The sequence below is a fragment of the Homo sapiens genome, chromosome 4 (assembly GCF_000001405.40).
Source record: "Homo sapiens chromosome 4, GRCh38.p14 Primary Assembly".
NCBI lineage: Eukaryota > Metazoa > Chordata > Mammalia > Primates > Hominidae > Homo > Homo sapiens.
The window spans coordinates 148,533,157-148,555,230 of record NC_000004.12 but is presented as its reverse complement, the minus strand read 5'-3'; the positions used below and the strand labels follow the sequence as shown (position 1 = coordinate 148,555,230).

Here is a 22,074-nt window from a genome sequence, read left to right as displayed (position 1 = left end):
GACACCCTCCCCAAAGTCTTAAATACTCGATGTTGTGTTAAAAGTACAATTTCAGCTCTAGGTTCAAGACAAAAATGTTGCCAGGATGTCTAAGTAAGTCCTAAAGTCTTTCTGAAGAATCACAGTAAAATACTGATTTGAAGCAAACCCAACAAATGTGAAAGGTAGGTTGAGCTTAGTTCTAGGAATCAGTAATTACGGCATAAGCACAGAACAGGTGGGGGAATTGTGAATCAATGAGTTTATTTCTGGCATCTTTCTACTTCCCCATTCAGAAATTTTCCCAACTCACTGCCCAAACCATCTTCTCCTCCAATACAGTCCCCACTTAAGGCTGATCCTCTCAGGCAATACCTTAAGCTCTCAATTTGTCTCTTTATCCTTTTATCTTTCAAAAGCTCAGCTAAATTGCAGGCCTCATTTCTATGTAGTTGAGGTATTCATGAAAGGCAGTGTGACCTAGTAAACAGCAGAATTGAAAGTCCGGTTCAACCAACTATGCTGTGCAGTCTCTGGCAAGTTACATGAGCTCTCTGAAGCTCTGATTCTCATCAGTAGAAAGGCAAAAACAGTTGCTATTACATTAGGAAAATGTAATCGATGAATCCATATTGGCAAGTTTATGATAAAAATAATCAATGCATGCTTCCAGAAATGTCCACATTTTCAAAGGATGTGAGTCCAAAGGAACACAACACAGGAAATTGTCTTGCATCACAAAGACAATATTGAGATTAAAGAATTTTTGCGCAGATTTTAACCTATATTTCATGAGCAGCTACCTACAATATCTGTTAGAATGGGGTGCATACAGAAGAGGATTAACAAATATAAATTGCTAGATAATCAAAGAGTTCCAAAACAATTATTGGACCAGGAGTTAGCCTGGAGCTAGGCATATATTAAGCGCTTTAATTTTTAGCTAAAGGAAATAGACCACTACTTTATATATTTTAGTGTGCAATTACCTTCTGAGTATATTTGGATACTTCCCATAGTGCCAATACTTTTTATTGATGCTAAAACGGACGTTTTCCCTCACACTCACATCTCTGACATCAGGATACATCCCACCATTTGTTACAATTAATTAACCTCTTTCTTCTTGCTTGGTGGGACATAATCAATGCAATCTTAGATTCACAGAAATGTAACATATTGAATTCTAGACAATGACTATTCAGTATGTTCTGATGGTAAGTCAGACAACAAGTACAGTTGTACCTCGGTATTCATGGGAGATTGGTTCCAGGCCCCCCATAGATACCAAAATACTCAGTGTTTGTCTCTTATACAAAATGGTGCTGTATTTCCATATAACCTGCACACATCCTCCCATATAATTTAAATCATCTTTAGATTACTTATAATACCTAATGCAATGTAAAGGCTATGAAAATAATTATACTATATAGTTTTTTAATCTGTATTTTTTAATGGTTGTATTGGATTTTTAAAAAACTTTTATTTTAGGTTCAGGGTAGGTGTGCAGGTTTGTTATATAGGTAAATTGTGTGTTACGGTGGTACCGTTATGTTTATTGCTTTTTTTCCAAATACTTTTCATTTCTGGTTGGTTGAATCTGTGGATACAGAACCAACAGGTGTGGAGGACTGACTGTACATAGTTTAATGGACCACAGAGATCTATTTGGCTTCTTGGATGTTTAGTCCCTGAGCATCAACTCTAATAATATTTATAAAGGCAGATATAAACAAGGTATGCATGATTAAAAAAAGAGGGTGCTTCAAATGCTTAAAGCACAATTTCTAAAGTTGTATCAATGGATGAAGATATCACTCAAGCTTTTGAAAGAGTTCACATCCTAGCAGTTTTTGTTTCACTTTGTGATATTTTTATTTTATTTATGTATTTATTTTTGGAACAGGGTCTCGCTCTGTCACTCAGGCTGGAGTGCAGTGGCGATGTCACGGCTCACTGCAGACTGGAACTCCTGAGCTCAAGGGATTCTCCTGCCTCAGTCACCCAAGTAGCTGGGACTACACCATGCAAGGTTATTTTCTAAATTTTTTATAGAGATGAGGTTTCAATGTGTTGCCCAGACTGGTTTCAGACTACTGGACTCAAGTGATCCTCTTCCCTTAGCCTCCCAAGTGTTAGGATTACAGGCATAAGCCATGGCACCTGGCCTACTTTTTTATTTTTTTAATTTTTATTTAATTTATTATTTATTTATTTTTGAGAGAGAGTCTCACGCTGTTACCCAGGCTGGAGTGCAGTGGTGCAATCTCAGCTCACTACAACCACAGCCTCCTGGGTTCAAGTGGTTCTCCTGCCTCAGCCTCCCAAGTAGTTAGGACTACAGAGGTGCATCACCACGCCCCACTAATTTTTTGATATTTTTTGTAGAGATAGGGTTTCACCATGTTGCCCAGGCTGGTCTCAAACTCCTGAGCTCAGGTGATCAACCTGCCTCAGCCTCCCAAAGTGCTGGGATTACAGGCACGAGCCACTGTGCTCAGCCTACTTTTTGATATTTTTAAACAAGCACTAAGGCATGTACTTTTTAAAATTAAATATATACTCACCGTATTTTGAGATTTGGTCACACCCCTTGAAATAACTATATATTCTCTAGGTCATCACAAAGCCTGACTTTGAAAATCACTACCTTGTATTCACTACCTTGTATATTTATGCAAAAATACACAGGGCATAATGGCTCCTTTAAACAACAACTAAACTGTTCATTCTACCCAACAAACAGTTTACTGGATAGAAACCATTTTTTAATGATTTTTGGGGTGAGGGAAAAAATTTTTTAGAAAAAAAAGAAATCCACGCAGTGATAACAGAAGCACAGTAAGTTTATATTTAACTTTACAAAGCTTCCATTATTTGGGGTTAATGTAAACATAGCCACGTGACTCACGACAACATAACTAATATGTCTGAATAGCACAATGATCAGTGTTGACTGTCATGTACTCACCTTCTCTAAGAGGCTGTTTATTTTCAAAATGACATTTCACTGCCTATGAAGATGCAAGCATCCTTATTGCTTTCATACATTTTGGTTTTAAATTTGTGATTTGCCACCCTGGGTGCAGTCATCTGCAGCCCAGATAAGAATATCCCTTTTTTTTTTTTTTTGAAACAGTCTCACTGGATTGCCTAGATTGGAGTGCAGTGGCACAATCTTGGCTCACTACAACTTCTGGCAGCCACATTCAAGCGATTCTTGTGCTTCAGCCTCCCGAGTAGCTGGGATTACAGGCATGCACCACCATGCTGGGTAATTTTTGTATTTTTAGTAGAGACAGGGTTTCACCATGTTGCCCAGGCTGGTCCTGAATTCCTGGCCTCAAGTGATCTGCCTGCCTCGGCCTCCCAAAGTGCTGGGATTACAAGCGTGAGCCATGGCGCCCGGCCCCAGAATATCTTACTTAAAAACATTATATGACATAAAAACCCCAGCCTCCCACCATAACCTACACATGTGTGCCAGTGAAAGAGTATAATCCATTCCAAATGCTTAAATCTATGATATTCCCTGTAGTCACGGGAAATGTGACATTGGACAGACCTGTTGCACCATGGATTCACATATTTAAAGTTTCTATGACATTTTAGAATGGTACAGCCTGGCAATATCTGCAGCTGCATATGACAGCATTCGACATAATTCTTTTATTGGCTTATGTAATTCTCATGTGGGAAAAAAAAGATTTAGATACTATCAGAGATAGATCAAGAGATCCATAGAAATTTCAAAAGCAAAATGAAATCCTACAACTATCAAAACAAGGAGAATATTTTCTCTCCTTTTTCTAAAGCAGACCAAACACAAAATTGACAAAAATCAATTTTAGAATGCTAATCTTTAAAAAAGCAGTGGAAACAACCCAAATGTCCATCAACTGATGAATGGATAAATAAAATGTACTATATCCATACAATGGATTATTATTCAGTAATAGGAAGTACTGGTATATGCTACAACATGGGTAAATCTTAAAAACATTGTGCTAAAAGAAAGAAGCAAGTCACAGAAGACCACATCTTGTTTGATCCCATTTACGGGAAATGGTCAGAATAGGTGAATCCATCTAGAAGGCAAGTAGATTAGCCATTGCCTAGGGCTAAGGGTGGGTGGCAGACGGGGAGTGACTGCTAATAGGTACAGGGTTTCTTTTTGAAGTGATGAAAATGTGCTAAAATTATTGATAATCTATTAATTGTTAATTATTAATGATACTCTATTAATTGTGCATAATTAATAGATAATCTATTATGTATTATTAATAGATAATCTATTGATTATGCATTATTAATAGATAATCTATTAATTATGCATTATTAATAATCTATTAATTTTTAATTGTCAGTCAATTGTGGTGGCAGTTGCATAATTCTGAATATACTAAAAGCCATCAACTGGTACACTTTAAATGGGCAAATTATATGGTATGTGAATTATCTGTAAATAAAACCATTTCAAAAGAAAAGGAAATAGCTTAAAGGTGAAAGCTTTTCCTCCTGGAATGGCAAACACTTTCTCCATGGGCAGATATAGAAATGATCTGCCACAGCCCTAAAAAATAAAAATTTGCAAAGGGAAAGGAGGTTCCCTCGCAGAAATTTGCTGCAGATAACTCAAAATGAAGGCAGTTATCGCTTCTATTATCTGTGTTTAAACAAATGATTCTAGTAACCAGGAAGCAGTTATTGGAGCCTGAGTAGGATCTGGATAAAAAGCAGGAAGCCTAGTTAAATTTGAATCCCAGACGATGAATCAAATTTTACTATGTGTATGTTCCCAAATATTACATAAATAATAAATTAAATATTATATAAGTATTGCACATTTGGGGACATGATTATATTGTACTAAAAAACTATGTATTATCTGTCTGAAATTAAAATTTATTTGGATTCTCTGTATTTTCTGTTGTTCTTAAATCTGGCGACCTAGGGCCTGCAATTATTAATTTTTAGAGATGTGGGAGCTCAGAGCAGTTGAACACAAAACCAAGGCAGGTCTAGGTAAGATTGGAAGAAATTTGTTTCATACCCTAAATCGCCTATTTATAAAATAAATAAATAAATAAATATTTATTTGGTTCTTTATTTGCCCAGCATTATGCAAGACACTGGAGATACTACAGTAAGAAAGGTGGACTCCCAACTTAGAGTCTGGTAAAGACAGACAAGTGAAAACGCAGTAACAATAAAATGCAATAAATGATAGAAGATGAGAAGAAGGTAGCAACTGAATAGAAAAAGTCGGAGAATCCTAGGTAAAGGAAAAAAGATGGGCAACGACTCAGAGATGAACAAGAACATGGCTAGTTCAAAGAATCAAAGTAATTTCATATGAAAAATTACAGCACGTACAGAATGAAGAAGGTATTATTAAGAAGTATAGAGAAATCAGATCCTGGAGGGTTTTTTTTCTAATAGACTTCATTTTTCACAGCAGTTTTAGGTTCATAGCAAAATTAAGCAAAAAGTATAGAGAGTTCCCATTTATCCTCTGTCCCCAACACATGCACAGCTTCCCCACCTATCAACATCTCTCACCAGAGTGGTACATTTGTTACAATCGATGAACTTACATGAACAGATCATTATCACCTAAAGTCCACAGTTTATATCATGGTTCACTCTTGATATTGTATATTCTATAGGCTTGGACAAATTTATAATGGCACATACCCACCATTACAGCATATAGAGGAATTACATTGCCCTAAACACCCTCTGTGTTCCTACTCATCCCTCCCTCCCCTCTAAACCCTGGCAACCAGTGATCTTTTTACTGTCTCCACAGTTTTGTCTTTTCTAGAATGTCAGATAGTTGGAATCATACAGTATGTAGCCCTTTCAGATTGCCTTATTTCACTTAGTAATATGTTAAACATGTAAAGTTCCTCATGTCTTTTCATGGCTTGATATCTCATTTCTTTTTAGTACTCAGTAATAGTCTATCATCTGGATGTACCTATGGAGGGTTTTCTTGATTTTGCAAGAGCCTCAAGCATTTGCTTCATCTACCTGTTGGATAATCTGGTTCTGCAGACAGAGGATGTTTAGCAGTACTGAATACTCAAGAAGACAATATAATGAAAACTTCAACATGCCCACTGGATTTAGACACAAAGATAACAGAAACTTGATAAGTTTAAGTAGAGAGATGGGTCAGAATCCAGATTGAAATTAGTGGTAGACTAAATAGGAGGTAGAACAGAGGCAAAGGAATGGAAATAATGAACATACACAACCCTTTCAAGGAACTGGCTCTAGAGAAGAGACGAGAGTTTTCAGCCTTAGAACTTATAGCTCTTTTTTTCAGCTTTATGAGGTAAAAGTGATAAATAAAAATTGTATATATTTGAGATATACAACATGATGTTTTGATATTCGTATGTATTGTGAAATAATTACCATAATCAAGCTAATTAATATAACCATCACTGTATTAGTCTGTTTTCACACTGCTATAAAGAAATACCCGAGACTGGGTAATTTTTAAATTCACTCACTATCAGGAGAACAGCACGGGGGAAACTGCCCCCATGATCCAATCACCTCCCTCCCTTGACACATAGGAATTACAATTTGAGATGAGATTTGGGTGGGAACACAGAACCAAACCATATCAGTCACCTCACATAGTTATCATTTTTTGTGTGTGTGGTAAGAACATTTAAGATCTAATGTCTTAGCAAATTTCAAGTATACAAAACAATATTATTAACTATAGTCCCCATAGCTCTCCGGAACTTATTTATCCTGCATAACCACAGCTTTGTACCCTTTGACTAACATCTCCCCATTTTTCCCACCCCACCCAATCCCCAGCCCTTGCAGCCACCATTCTACTTTCTTCTGTGAGTTCAACTTTTTCAGATTCCACATATGAGTGAGGTCATGCAGTATTTGTCTTTCTGTGCCTGGCTTATTTCACTTAGCATAATGTCCTCCAGATTCATCTATGTTGTCACAAATGACACGATTTCCATCTTTTTTAAGTTTGAATAATATTCTATTGCATATATACACCACGTTTTCTCTATCCATTCATCCTCGATGGGCACTTAAGTTGATTCTGTATTTTGGCTGTTGTGAATAATAATGCAATGAACATAAGGGTGTAAATATCTCATTGAGTTAGTGGTGTTATTTCCTTTGGATATACATCCAAAAGTAGGGTTTCTGAATCATATGACAGTTCTATTTTTATTTTTTTGGAGGAACTTTCATACTGTTTTCCATAATGTCCATACGCATTTACATTGCCACCAACAATACACAAGGGCTCCCTTTTCTCCACATCCTCACCAACATTTATCTTTTGCCTTTTTCATAATAAACATGATATCAGGTGTGAGTTGATATCTCATTGTGGTTTTGGTTTGCATTTCTCTGATAGTTTGTGATATTGAGCATTTTTTTCATATATCTCTTGGCCAATTGTATGTCTTCTTTTGAGAAATGTCTATTCAGGTTCTTTCCCCATTTTTTAATCAGGTTGTTTGTTACTATTGAATTGTTTGAGTTCTTAAAAGAGATTTTAATGGGACAATCTTGAGTGTGTTTATGTGCTGATGGAGAGTTACTGAGGTCTGTAGAAAGTGCAAGAAGATGGTCTCTTGTGAAATAGGAAGGAAAAGTAACTGCCTGAACATAAAGGGGGAAATAGAGCAGCCAGAAATACAAGATGAGTGGTGAAGGAATTAGCTGCTGGACAGAATAGGGTAGTTGACTAGGAGATCACTGTGGCTAAGAAAGAAAGTAGGACAAAATATTAATGATATAGTGCTTCTTTTCACTGAGTAAGTATTCCTAAGGTAATAGGAAACCACTATTACACATACACACACCAATGATAGAAATATTTTTAACAACATTTTTGATGTATTATAAAAATTCAAATAAAGAGAACTTCATCTATATTAGAATAATCTGTCCTTCAACGCAGAATACCCCAGAATGAGAATCTAGAAAAAGCATCACTGCCACTCAACTCCTTAAAAATTCAGAGAATCAGCTTCAATTTACTAATCATCTCCTATTCCATTATCCACAGCTAGATGCTAGAAGCATTGATCTGAATAATTTAAAACAGCAGATATTCAAAAATGATTTTAGGTCCTGAAAAACGTTAAGTATTTACATTAAATTTACATTGTTAATTGGCCTCACTTACGCAAATATTAAAACTAGTTTAAATTCTCTGAGAAAATACTCAATGATATCAAGGATTAGAAAATGATTAGAATTTAGAGAGAATCCAGAGACTAGCAGTTAGCAACAAATGACAAAGAAAATGAATCCCCACAATGGTATTGAGACAAATTTCTTTTTTTTTTCTTTTTTGTCTTTTGTTTTTTTTCAGAATTAGGGAGCAAGGAGGGTCTTATCTTGCCAGGCTGGTCTCGAAATCCTGGGCTTAAGGAGACAAACTTCTAACAGAGAGGAATTTTTTTCCAATTACAGAAAAATAAATGATCCCTAAATTTTCAGAACTAGAGCTGTTTTTGTTGTCAACAAGATCTTACTCCTACCTTGTGCTGAAACTTGACTTAAACTCCAAGTGCATTCCTTCCAACACCCAGACTTAGCTAAATTACTTCTCAGTAATAAACAGTTCTGCCATGTGCATGCATTGAGTAAGATGCAGCCAGGACACATGGCCAACTGTAATATGATTACACTTCTGTCACATCCTTCCTCTACTCACTCATTCATTCAGTCAATTTGTTCAATCTCAGTCATCATTCGAGTCCTGAGAGCTTACTGTGTGTCAGGGACGGAGTTAACTGCTAACATCACGCAGAGCAATGACGGAGATGACCTAAGTAAATCACCAGTTAAAAACTATGGAATGTGATTTAGGACAGTTATATACTATAAGGGAAAGTAGTGGACTGCTCACTTAAGTCTGATGTTAACTTAGGAATACTTTCCAAGCAGATTTTTTTTTGTATTAATTCTGGAAGAATGAGTAAGAGTTAACCACATTGAGAAGGAAGAGGATCAGGAAGGATAATAAGAACAGGGGTTCACTTTGGACAAAGAGGTGAGAGATGTTATGATGGACACAAGAAAGGAGTTTCCTCTGGCTGAGAGTTACATCATCGGTTAGACCGTCGAGAGACTTGTATGCCAAGATAATGAAGTGGATCATATCCTAAAGGTTATGAGGATTTATTGATGGAAGACTTGTAATGACATGATAAGTTTTATATTTTAGACAATTGCTCTAGATGGATTGGAGAAATTTGGGGAAGATGTGAAGCAGATAAATAAGCCATGGAGTCTGATTAAGATAGAAGCTGTGGAACTGGAGGAGCTGAATATCAAGAAATATTGAAGGGGCAAGAAGCACAAATTTGGAGATTGGTGAGTGGAGAGCAATGATGGGAAGGAATAGCAGTGGCTTACTCCTCTAATCCCAGAACTTTGGGAGGCCAAGGTGGGAGGATCACTTGAGCCCAGGAGTTCAAGACCAGCCTGGGCAAAATACTGATATACCCGCCTCTAAATAATAATAATAATAATAATAATAATAATAAAATGCTATCTTTTTTGTCTGGGCACAGTGGCTCATGCCTGTAATCCCACCATTTCGGGAGGCTGAGGCAGGAGGAGTTGGAGACCAGCCTGGGCAACATAGGGAGCCCTCATTTCTACTAAAAATAAAAATAAATTAGCTGGGCGTGGTGGCATGCACCTGTAGTCCCATCTATTCGGGAGGCTGAGGTGGGAGTATCACTTGAGCCCAGGAAGTGGAGGCTGCAGTGAGTCATGATAGCACCACTGCACTCCAGCCTAGGTGACAGAGCAAGACCCTGTATCAAAATAAGTAAATAAATAAATTTTAGTTTGAACACGTAATGAATGTTGGCATTACCTCTCACTGTTAGAGACTATAGCTGGAAGAAAGGATTAGAGCAGAAGACAATGAGTTCTTATGTGGCCATGCTAAGAGATATTTTCATAGAGGTCATCACAAAGTGAATTAAATTGGTCTGTCGCTCAGGAGACAGATCAAAGCCGGAGATATACACTGGGAGTCATGATAATATAAGCGGGTGCAGATAAAGGCATAGCCCACAGGGAGTAAAACAAACAGGAAAAAACAGAGAAAAGGGAAACAAAAACAAAACAAAGACCTGTACATATTATACCAACTAAACGATAGTAAGTGTTTTACTTGGTGGGGCTGAAAGGGGTAAGGCTAAGGTAGAGTTCAACCTTTCTTTATCCCTATCAATTCACCCTGGTTATTCCACTCAAAATAATTTTTAAATGTTTTATTATTTTGTCTTGATGAATGTTTCTTATTCCTTAATTATAAGTAAATATTACTTTTCAAAAATAGCTCCTAAGGGAGCTAAATTAATACATTTGCTTCTTTTCTTTAATTTCAAGAACCTGAATCAATCTACAGATCATCTAATATTTACATGATATTATATTCAATGACACTCATTGACAGAGGAGAATGAAGTATAATATTGTAGAACACCTTATGGTACATCACAAATAAATTACTACAGATTCCTCATATTTCTGGAAGCACATGCCTATGTGATGTGACTTTTCCTCCCAAAAAGCGAGAGAATCTTTACCCCCTTTCTTGAATTTTAGGGACTTTTTTTGTTTTGGTTTTTTACCTGGTTTGGTCAAAGATGCAAATGATGCAGGCAGAGACTTGACAAGGTCTGTATACTGGAGCCAACACTCTTGCTGCTGGGAAATCTTCCACCACCATATGAACAAGCCCAGGTTAGCCTGCTGGAGAATGAGACCATGTGGGACAAAAATGAGCCATCTCAAATTAAAGGCCCTAGATCTAACCAATCTTCCATCCAAAAGACTTGCAAATGAAATCATCCTAGACTATCCAGGCACAGTTTGAGCTGCCAGCTGATTATACATATTAACAAAACTGCCTCAGAAGAGAAGAGCCACCCAACTAAGCCAGAAAGTTGTCATCAAATTAAATGATTATTATTTTAAGTCAAAGTTTTGGGATGATTTGTTATGCAACAATAAGTAACTAACGTCACCACCTTCTAGAATTAAATAAGAAATCATTTAATATCTCTGATATATGAAGAGAACCTCACAGCAGGCAAACTTTACCTCTTCTGTGACTTTATTCAGAAAAACATACTACACTTAAGCATGTTTTAGAGTGAACAGACATATATTAAATCATAACAATTAAGTATCTTGATTTTCAATCACAGTTAACAGCATGGATTAATTCTGAGTAGAGCAAGCAGCTCTAATGAGTTTTCACCCTGAAGCTACACATCTTTAAACTTGGTAATTGTAATGAAGGCACATAATGAGGTTTTTTAAAATCTAAATAGCACACTGATACTTATTACTGATCTTTTATTTTTGCTAATAAAATGTTTTAGATGTCCTAAAAACTATTTTGAGAAGGATGCCACAGAAGTTTCTCAAAAAACCTAGGATGAAAATATTTCATAAAAGAATTAACATCGCCACAAAAAATTCAACAGGATTCTTCTAGGATACCAATCTCACAAGTTAGAACTAGTTTTCATAGGATAATTACAGACAAAGATTATGAATTATTCATCTTTGTATTGCCTATAATCCCTCCAGTTTAGGAGGCTCTTGATATATATTTGTTGAATGAGTGAATGAATGAATTATTGAGTGAGTGAATGATTAATGGGCCAAATGCATTGTTTCAGGCTTTATTATATGTGGTTCTTATACTTCAGGAGATGTGATTTGACCCATGAGATAACTGACTTGATACAATTAATGAGTCATTTCATAACAAGGTTCTACTGGTATTGTACTCATAAATGAAACCATGCTAATGACTCAGAAAGATTCATCTCAACTAAGAGATCCCTCTGTGCAAGTTAAATTTGTCAGTTTCTTCCCAGTATCTAAAATGGATTGTATTCTTCTTTCAAAAGAACAAAATCAGCCGATCTAACTTCCACCTAATTTATAAGTTGTGTGTATAGTTATAGACATAGATCGCATAAAATATACATTTATCTTTATATAGAGAGATAACACTACTGGTGGCGATTGTTATCTGAGTGAACAGGTGTGGCTGAAAAAACCTTTGCCTGACCAACTGTTCTTTCCACACTATACACATATAAAGAGTATTCTATGGTTGGCAGCTGTAGCCATATTTGCAGATCCCACAGCTATTTGTAACTGCACTATTTAAAATAATACTCTACCCATTACCATTATTCATAAATAGCTATACTTCTAACTAATGCAAGTAAACCTGTTCTGCCTATTTTCACTTGGAATTCCGGAATTACACTGAATCATATGAAGTTTCACTTTGTGAGCTCTTTATAGTTTTTCTTCTGCTCACTATTTTTGCTTGCCATCCTTTACTTAGCACACAACTTTATGAGTATCCTATTGTCATACATTCTCTACACCTGCCCAGTCTCAAAGCCACGTGCTTCAGTAAGAAAATACACACACTAGCTAATTTAGGCCCTCACTGTCTGACTTACCTATTTAAAGTTAAATATCACTCACAAGGGGATGTAATAGAACTTTTCAAGAAATAATTTGTTCATATATTTACTGGCTATTTATTGAAGCACCAGGCACTGTTCTAGGTGCTGGGAATATAGCAATATGCACAGTCACTGCCACAATGGAACTTTGTTGTATGCATGTTTCTTTTTCCACTTCAGAGCAGGGATAGCATCTCTTCCTTAATATCACCTAGACCACTGTTTTGCACCTAGTAAGTGTTTAACAAATGCTGACAGACAGGTCAGCACTCCGGAAACCCTCAGTTTATGCTGGACTTCTGATTGAGTCCATTCCCACTCCTGCTTGCTGGATCTCTTGGATCTCCACATGACCTACATAACAAAAATCATGATTGCTTTCAGCTCTCTATTGCCAATCAAAATAACTGGCTACATTGCTTTCTTTCTGCAAGCTGGAATATGATTTTGCTCTACCTAGACTTATGACAGTCCTGTGGTCCCATGTTTATTCTGCCAAGCTTTTAATATGTTTCATTAGCATCTTTCCTGAGTGCCCTAAATGTATTCTAGGAGTGCAGGTACAGGATCACAGCATGGATTTTAGGAGGCTTGTCTGTGGCATGACACACTGCCTCGTGCTCGCTCTCTCCATGTGCTTTTCAAACACCAATATTCATCAGCACACCACATCAGCTAGAGGCAAGACACCAAAAAAGATGAGTAGTAAACACAGTTGTTCATTTGCCTACTTTCTGGGAATGAACATCAAGCATCAAGCATCTTGGAGATTTGTTGGTCAGTTGGTTATTCCCAAGACTATATTTTAGGAATCCCAAAGAGAGCTACTGATAGATTCCTACCACAAAAGTTCTTTGACAGATTCTACCTAATCAACTTCATATTTCTTGCTCAGTATAAATTCTCCCACAAAAGGTCTTCCTGGTTTTATAAATTTGGATTCAAAAAGGTTAAATATTATATTATCCAAGTTTTATTTCCCCTTAGATTTTTATAAATACCACATAATTGCCAGCCTTCACCCTGTGTATAATCTAAGACAAAGTTGAAAGAGAGGGGGAGAAAACTCTAAAATGTATTTATAAGCAATACATATACTTCTGGAGAACTAGGAACTGGGATTGTGTAAATTGCTTTGCATCATGGTCTGGACAGCAGATTATACATGCATATATTTGTTAAAAATTACCTAAGTATAATTTCTATCCCTCAAGGCTCAAACCATAGAACAATAAAAACTAAGTGCTTATTTCATGCCTCCTAGGTTCACAGCAGTATGCTAATTCCTGTGAAAAGAAAAGTCACTCCCCTTGCCAAGGATCCCTAAAACTTTTATGAAGCAATAAGACCAAATAATAAAATGAAAATATGAAAGGGCCAATAATAAAATGTTATCTTATACTAGTTTAGCAAAATCACAAATATCATTTAAAAGCCAGTCAATGGCTAATTGAATGGCAACACTAATTAGTGCTGAAGAAACCCAGAGACAAAAGTATTCCGAGAAGTCCAGGTGCTTCACTCAAAAGCAAGTACTCTCAGAAAATGGATCAGAAGTACACAGTTGGACCCAGGCTCAAGGCCTTGTAGTTGGGCGTGGCAGGAATTAGCTTGAAAGTGATGGCTTGTCAGGGATGGATAGACATTTGTCACACTTCCTTGGCTGTCCAGGAGCTTTCTAATCCTTCCTATGTTGGAGAATTGTTGCCTCCCCAAAGCAGAAGCTAAAAAATTGCTTTCCCAGCTTCTCTTGGAACTCATGACCTGGGACTCTCCAATGCACTGACATGAGACATGAGTTCAGAAGTAGATGAGGTGAATGAGAAAGTGCAGTGTTGAGTTGATGCCAGCAAGGGCAGCAAGGACAGTCAGTGCCAGAGGCTGCCGTGACAGTAGTCCGAGCTCTAGTATCCTCTGAAAACTTCTCAGCCTCTATATTTGGCAGCAAGCTGTCTAGTACAGTAGTGCCACACTGGAATTTGAAGATTGTTCCTAGCTGTAAGTAAGCAAGTTTAATTCTGTGGTTACTGTAGAGACTTTATTATTTTAAACATAATTTTTAGAGATAGGGTCTCATTCTGTCACCAGGCTGGAGTGCAGTGTTGTGACCATAGCTGACTGCAGCCTCAACTCCTGGATTACAGGCATGTGCCACACCTGGCTATTTTTTTTTTTTTAGATTGTTTTTTGGAGACAGGGTCTCCCTATGTTGCACAGGCTGGTTGTGAACTTCTTTTTTTTCTTTTTTTGAGATGGAGTTTCACTCTTGTAGCCCAGGCTGGAGTGCAGTGGCGCAATCTCGGCTCACTGCAACCTCCGCTGCCCAGGTTCAAGCAATTCTACTGCCTCAGCCTCCAGAGTAGGTGGGACTACAGGCGTGCGCCACCATGCCTGGCTAATTTTTGTATTTTTAGTAGCGACAGGGTTTCACCATGTTGCCCAAGATATTCTTGAACTCCTGACCTTGTGATCCGCCCACCCTTGGCCTCCCAAAGTGCTGGGATTACAGGTGTGAGCCACCAAGCCCAGCCGTGAACTTCTTATCTCAAAAGATCCTCCTACCTCCACCTCCCACATTACTGGGATGTAAGCACAATCCATCACACGTGGCGGCAGAGATTTTATGATGTACCCACTATCTAAAAAATGTCTTACTCTGTTTAAAATAGTAAAGTTGGATTCTGTTGTTTGCAACTAAAAACCTTAACAAAGACCAGATTGACTACAGCAAAATGTGCATCTTGAATCATTATTTGCCTAGGAAGAAAAAAAGAAAAAAAAAGTATATTAGTAAAAATACTAAGTCCAGAAGAAGTTCTGGAAAATTAGGGAGAAAGCAAGTGGCCAAAGGATAGAAAGAGTGCATGATACATTTAATATGATGGCATAACATGCAAACAGCATTAATGCTGGATGTTTGACAGAGGCGTGCAGCTCTGTCGGCTGCACTCCTCCTCTTCCTCTATACTCTGCGCTCTGTGAGGCTGAACTCTGACCTCTGCATCATTGGGCTCACCTGCTTTCTGCATTTCAGCTGAGTTCTGCCAATGCAGAGCACTATAAGGCAAGAGTATGAGATCAGAGTCCATTCTTTTGACTTCCTCCCTGCAAGGTTTCGCAGACTGATGTTTATCCTGACCAAAGGTCCCAGCTCCTGCCAGGCAGGCTTTTCTCACCACATTCTTTCTTTAAGTACCTTTTCTTACTCTTGAGACATAGGGATGGTGATGAAATTCCTAAGCCACTAGTTCTGGAGTCTAACCTTATCCTTTGGTGTTTCCACACCTTTACCACACCTTTGCAAATAGTATGTTTATAAACACTTCTCCATTTACCCAGTTGAGTGTGTCATCACTTTCCTGTTGGGACCCCAACTACTAAACTATTATAGATTATTTGGAAGTACATGTCTTATAAAACTATGAAAACCTGCAGGGAAAAGATGAACACAACATTGAGAAAAGTGCTTAACCCTAGGGGATAGAAAGAGAAGGCGAGTAATTAGATTAGAGAATGGTAAACAAGAGACACAGCAGGCAGTAACTATCTATGTAATATATATCATATAAACATTTATTCTTACATTGGGTCATAGAAACATAAATATTTTCTACACCATTCTTCATGATTTTTATGTTACAGTCCACAGCTTTACATTTTTTTCACTCTATTAAGGCTATCTTTTAGTGAATAAAAGTCCTAAATTTAATGTAGTCCAATTTATCAATCTATATGCTTAAGATTAGAGCTTTTTATGTCCTATTTAAGAAATCTTTGCCTGTTTAAGAATATCTTAGTCATTAAAATATTCTGCATGTTATTTTCTAGATGTTTATCAGGTCATCTTTCTCATTTAGGCCCACAATCTATTTTGAATTTATTTTTTGTATGGTGATATGATTTGTATGCTTAACATACTGTGAGATTCTTGTGACTAACATTGTATTAGGATTTTGCCTTTATGTTCATGAGTAAGATTAGCCTGTTGATCCTTTTTTAAATAAGGGGCTGGTAATTGGCTATTAGTGCTATTAGTAATATTTCCTCCTTAAATATTTAGAGCATTCAGTGGACCTAGATGTTTCTTTCCAAGGAGGTTTTAAATGAGAGATTCAATTTCTTAAATATAACTATTCTATTCAGACTTTATTTTCTTGCACCAGTTTTCATAAATTGTGGTTGTTTATTTCATCTGAATTTTCAAATTTATTGTCATAAAATTTTATCTGCAGTATCCACACAGATGCAAAAGAACATTTTTATCTTCTGAAGCAGAACACTTGGCATCTCCGTGACAGATAACTTCACTATCACTCAGAACCACCCCAAGATTAAATATCAGCCTTATATTTGTATAACTTAAGAAAGCAAAGATCTGTTCCAAAGTGAATGTCTGTCTCCACTAGAAGCTAAAAGCTCCTAGTAACTTTACAATAAAACTCACTCATGGGAAACACAACTTACACTTCACCTAGCACTAATTACACAAGTGATAAACATACAGGCAGCAACTGGGAAACTCTAGAGTGCAACTCTGACATCAAATCAGAGCAAGAGATTTAGATTTTTCAGTTACCAGATTGGAAATAGTAGATAAAGCCATAAGAAAGAGCTCATATTTCAGAAAAACATGGAGAGTGAAAAGCACCAAGTTAAAGAGGGAGGAAAGTGGAAAAAACTTGCAACAAAAATAAAATATGAAAGGCGAAAAGTAGGGGGTAGAACTAGAGTGATGGCATCAGACATGTCAAAGGGGAGTTTGAAGAGGGAAGAGTTGGTCAGCCATGCCCAATTCGAATAGCGGTTTTGGGGAATGAGTACTGATTAAGATCATTGGCTTTAACATTTAAGACCATTGGCTTTAACATTTAAGACAGAAGTTTCAGTAAAGTAGGAGATGTTAATGAGGAAGTAAGTAGTTAGAAAATGTGGGTACTGGGCTGTTTCTACTGATCTCAAAGGAACGCCCATACTGAATAGCTGTGGTACCAAGTAGTCAAGAGATGTTGAAATGTCTCTGTGTGAAAAAAGGGAAAGTTTTAAACTGTAGCCTTACCAATCAAGATGTGAAAAGGATAAACAATTCAAGCAGTTTCAGGTGAGCCAGGCCTAACACCCAAAGGTCACAGACATTACAATCTGAACAACAACCCCGTCTTCCTTCAACCTGATATTTAAAGTCCCACAAGGCTTTACATTTTTTAAAAAAGCACTGCTTTTCTTCTGGCTCTTTGTATCACTTAAAGTGTTTACCAATCTCTATAATAAAAGAAAAATACAATTCTAAGAGGAGTCATTATACTCTATCATTTTAGCTACGTTTACATGAAACAAAGAAGTAATGTGTACCCTGGGAAACCGAGCACAGTGAACTCCTATTACCCTCACTCTGTCATTACGTGATTTCTGGGAACACCAAAGATAAAAGACCACCCTAATTCCAGAATCTCAGGTAGCACTTCGATAAGTTTAAAGGTTCTGACAGTGAAATTATTGCCCAATCCTGCACCAAAAAGAGATTTTTAAAAGAAGACTCTTTCTTCCAGGAAAAAGTTCTATGTCTTGGACACTTGCAGTATCTTAAAAGAAAATCTTTTTTTGTTTTGGTATAAGGAAGGAGATTGGCACAAAAAACCAGGTCAAGCCATCTCTTCAATGAAGATATTTCTCAGGTTACTACAGAATAACCTTAGTGCTTCAAAGGAATAATCAAACTATTTCAATATAAAGAGTCTAATTATTTATTTTAAAAATCGTTGTTGACAACACCTTAATTTCAGAAAACAAATGACTTTTAACCAGTCCAGTGTCTCAGGATACATTTTAGCTTCCCCTTACATTCCTTCTCTAGAAAAGAGTCTTGCCTTTGTCCTCTGCAGCAGAGATGAGCAGGTCTTCTTCCCAGAGCTCATGCTGTTGGGGAAGGGGTGGCAGAGGGAATAGGTGAGGTGAATCCTCACGACTCTTCCCCTGCACAGATTTAGTAATTCTAGGCAACCCCGCTCCATCTTAGCTGGAATAGTGGAAAGTTTTCAATTGTAAAAACTTTTTTTCATACCTTAGTCTTGCTAAAAATAGTTTCCTATAACTGAATGAAAGTATAAAATGAAATTATGAGTAGGAGAGGTTTTCCTAATGCAGTCATGTATCAATTAAAGATAAGGATACATTCTTCATCCTTGTTAAAAACATCAGAGCATACTTACACAAACCTAGATGGCGTAGCCTACTACACACCTAGGCTACATGGGATAGCCTATTGCTTTTAGGCTACAAACCTGTAAAGCATGTGACTGTACTGAACACTGTAGGCAACTGTAACACAGTTGTAAGGATTTGTGTATCAAAACATAGAAAAGGTATAGTAAAAATACAGTATGAAGCTCAGGTGCAGTGACTCATGCCTGTAATCCCAGCATTTTAGGAGGCCAAGGTAGGCAGACTGCTTGAGCCCATGAGTTTAAGACCGGCCTGAGCAACATGGAGAAACCCCATTTCTACAAAATAGTACAAAAGTTAGCCAGGTGTGGTGGCACATGCCTGCGGTCCCAGCTACTTGGGGGACTGCAGTGGGGGGATTGTTTGAACCCAGGAGGCCGAGGCTGCAGTGGGCCCGGATTGTGCCACTGCACTCCAGCCTGGGTGACAGAGTGAGACCTTGTCTCAAAAGAAAAGGAGGGGGTGGGAAGGGTCAGCCACATCTCTGGGGTTCAGTAAACTCAGCCATTCCAGCCTGCCAGCTATGAAGAATACAAATCGTCTGAAGACGGAAGGGTCTCCCACAACACACCACAGCTGCCTTGCCAGATCATGGCCAGACTGCTTCTTTAAGAAGGACCTCGATCCATTTCTCCTCACTGGGTGGGACCTTCATGAAGAAGCTTTAGCCACTCTAGCCAGGGTTCTATGGATAGAGCTCTGATCTGTTCCTGGGACAGAGCTCCTGGCACAGAGGGGAGTGGGGGGTGGAAGCCGCCATCTCTGCAGCAGTTCAGTTGACTCAGCCTCTCTAGCCTGCTGGCTTGGAGAATAGAGTCTGGAAGAGGAAGGGTCCCACTTCCACCCCCAATGCAACACACCTGCTATACCAAAAGGCAGCCAGATTGCTTTTTTAAAAGGGTCCCTGATCTCATTTCCCCTGACTGGGTGAGACCTCCCAAAAGGGGTCACCAACCACCTCCTACAGGTGTGTTCAGGCTAGCAACAGGTCAGTACCCTCCTGGGATGGAGCTTCCAGTGGAAGGAGCTGGCTGCCATCTTTGCCATTTCACGGCTTTCACTGGAGATACCTCCAGGTATGGAAAAACCAAGGCAACCAAAGCAGACCCCCAGCAAACATCAGCAGCCCTATGGTAGAGTGGCCTATTAAAAGAAAAACAAACAAACAGAAAACAACAACATCAACAAAAAACACCACACACTAACCTCATTCAAAGGGCAGCAACCTCAAAGACCAAAGGTAGATAAGCCCACAAAGATGAGAAAGAATCAATGCAAAAATGCTGAAAACTCAAAAAGCCAGAGTGCCTCTTCTCCTCCAAAGGACTATAACACCTCTCCAGCAAGGGCACAGAACTGAGCTAATGCTGAGATGGCTGAATTGACAGGAGTAGGCTTCAGAAGATGGGTAATATTGAACTTCACTGAGCTAAAGGAGCATGTTGTAACCCAATGCAAAGAAGCTAAGAATCATGATAAAACAATACAGGAGCTGACAGACAGACTATCCAGTTTAGAGAGGAACACAACCGACCTGATGGAGCTGAAAAACACAACATGAGAACTTCACAATGCAATCACAAGTATCAATTGCAGAATAGACTAAGTGGAGGAATGAATCTCAGAGACTGAAGACTATCTTTCTGAAATAAGACAGGCAGACAAGAATAGAGAAAAAGAATTAAAAAGAATGAACAAAACCTCTGAGAAATATGGGATTATGTAAAAAGACTGAACCTATGACTGATTGGAGTACCTGAAAGAGACAGGGAGAATGGAAACAAGTCGGAAAATATACTTTGGGATATCATCCAGGAGAACTTCTCCAACCTAGCAAGACAGGCAAACATTCAGATTCAGGAAATGCAGAGAAGCCCAGTAAGATACTCCATGAGAAGATCAGCCCCAAGACACATAATCATCAGATTCTCCAAGGCTGAAATGAAAGAAAAAATGTTAAGGGCACAAAGAGAGAAAGGCCAGGTCACCTACAAAGGGAAATCCATCAGACTAACAGCAGACCTCTCCGTGGAAACGCTGCAAGCCAGAAGAGATTGGGAGCCAATATTCAACATTCTTAAAGGCAATAATTTTCAACCCAGAATTTCATATCTGGCCAAACTAAGCTTCATAAGTGAAGGAGGAATAAGATCCTTTTTAAACAAGCAAATGCTTAGGGAAATCATTACCACCAGGCCTGCCTTGCAAGAGCTCCTGAATGAAGCATTAAATATGGAAAGGAAAACCCATTACCAGCCACTACAGAAACACACTGAAGTACACAGACCAGTGACACTGTGAAGCAACCACATAAACAAGTCTGCAAAATAACCAGCTGGCATCATGATGACAGGGCCAACTTCACACATAACAATACAAACCTTAAATGTAAATGGGCTAAATCCTCTAACTAAAAGACACAGAATGGCAAGCTGGATGAAGAGACAAGACCCGTTGGTATGCTGTCTTCAAGAGACCTATCTCATGTGCAAAGACACACATAGGCTCAAAATAAAGGGATGGAGGAAAATTTACCAAGCAAATGGAAAGCAAAAAAAAAGCAGAGGTCACAATCCTAGTTTCTGACAAAACAGACTTTAAACCAACAAAGACCAAAAAAGACAAAGAAGGGCATTACATAAAGGTAAAGGATTCAATTCAATAAGAAGAGCTAACTATCCTAAATATATATGCACCAAATAAATAATGAAATACTTTATATTAGAGTAAATTTATTTCACCAAATAAATAATGAAAGTATTTCATATTGGGTAAATAATGAAATTAAGGCAGAAATCAAGAAGTTCTTTGAAACTAATGAGAACAAAGAGACAACTTACCAGAATCCCTATGATGCAGCTAAAGCGGTGTTAAGAGGGCAATGTATAGTACCAAATGCCCACGTCAAAAAGCTAGAAAGATCTCAAGTTAACGAGCTAACATCTTAACTAAAAGAACTAGAGAACCAAGAGCAAATAAACCTCAAAACTGGAAGAAGACAAGAAATAACGAAGATCAGAGCTGAACTTAAAGAGATAGAGAAGTTAAAAAGTCTTCAAAAAAATCAACAAATCTGGGAGCTGGTTGTTTGAAAAAATTAATAAAATAGATAGACTGCTAGCTTGACTAACAAAGAAGAAAGAGAGAAGAGTCAAATAAACACAATCAAAAATGATAAGGGAGATATCACCACTGACCCCACAGAAATACAAACAAACATCAGATAATACTATAAATTCCTCTATGCACATAAACTAGAAAATCTAGAAGAAATGGATAAATTCCTGGACACATACAACCTCCCAAGACTGAACCAGGAAGAAATTGAATCCCTGAATAG

The 22,074-nt window shown here is 37.8% G+C and overlaps 1 long non-coding RNA gene across 1 annotated transcript in view; it reads right to left on the bottom strand.

The window, feature by feature from the left end:
- LOC107986195 (uncharacterized) overlaps positions 1-18,710 on the bottom strand; it is a 496,338-nt gene extending 477,628 nt beyond the window's left edge. Inside the window, exons 1-2 of the long non-coding RNA XR_001741441.2 lie at positions 15,171-18,710; positions 10,647-10,767 (exon numbers count right to left, since the gene is read on the bottom strand). This is a non-coding gene — a long non-coding RNA (uncharacterized LOC107986195). The remainder of the gene's footprint in view (positions 1-10,646; positions 10,768-15,170) is intronic.
- Positions 18,711-22,074: the final 3,364 nt, after the last annotated feature.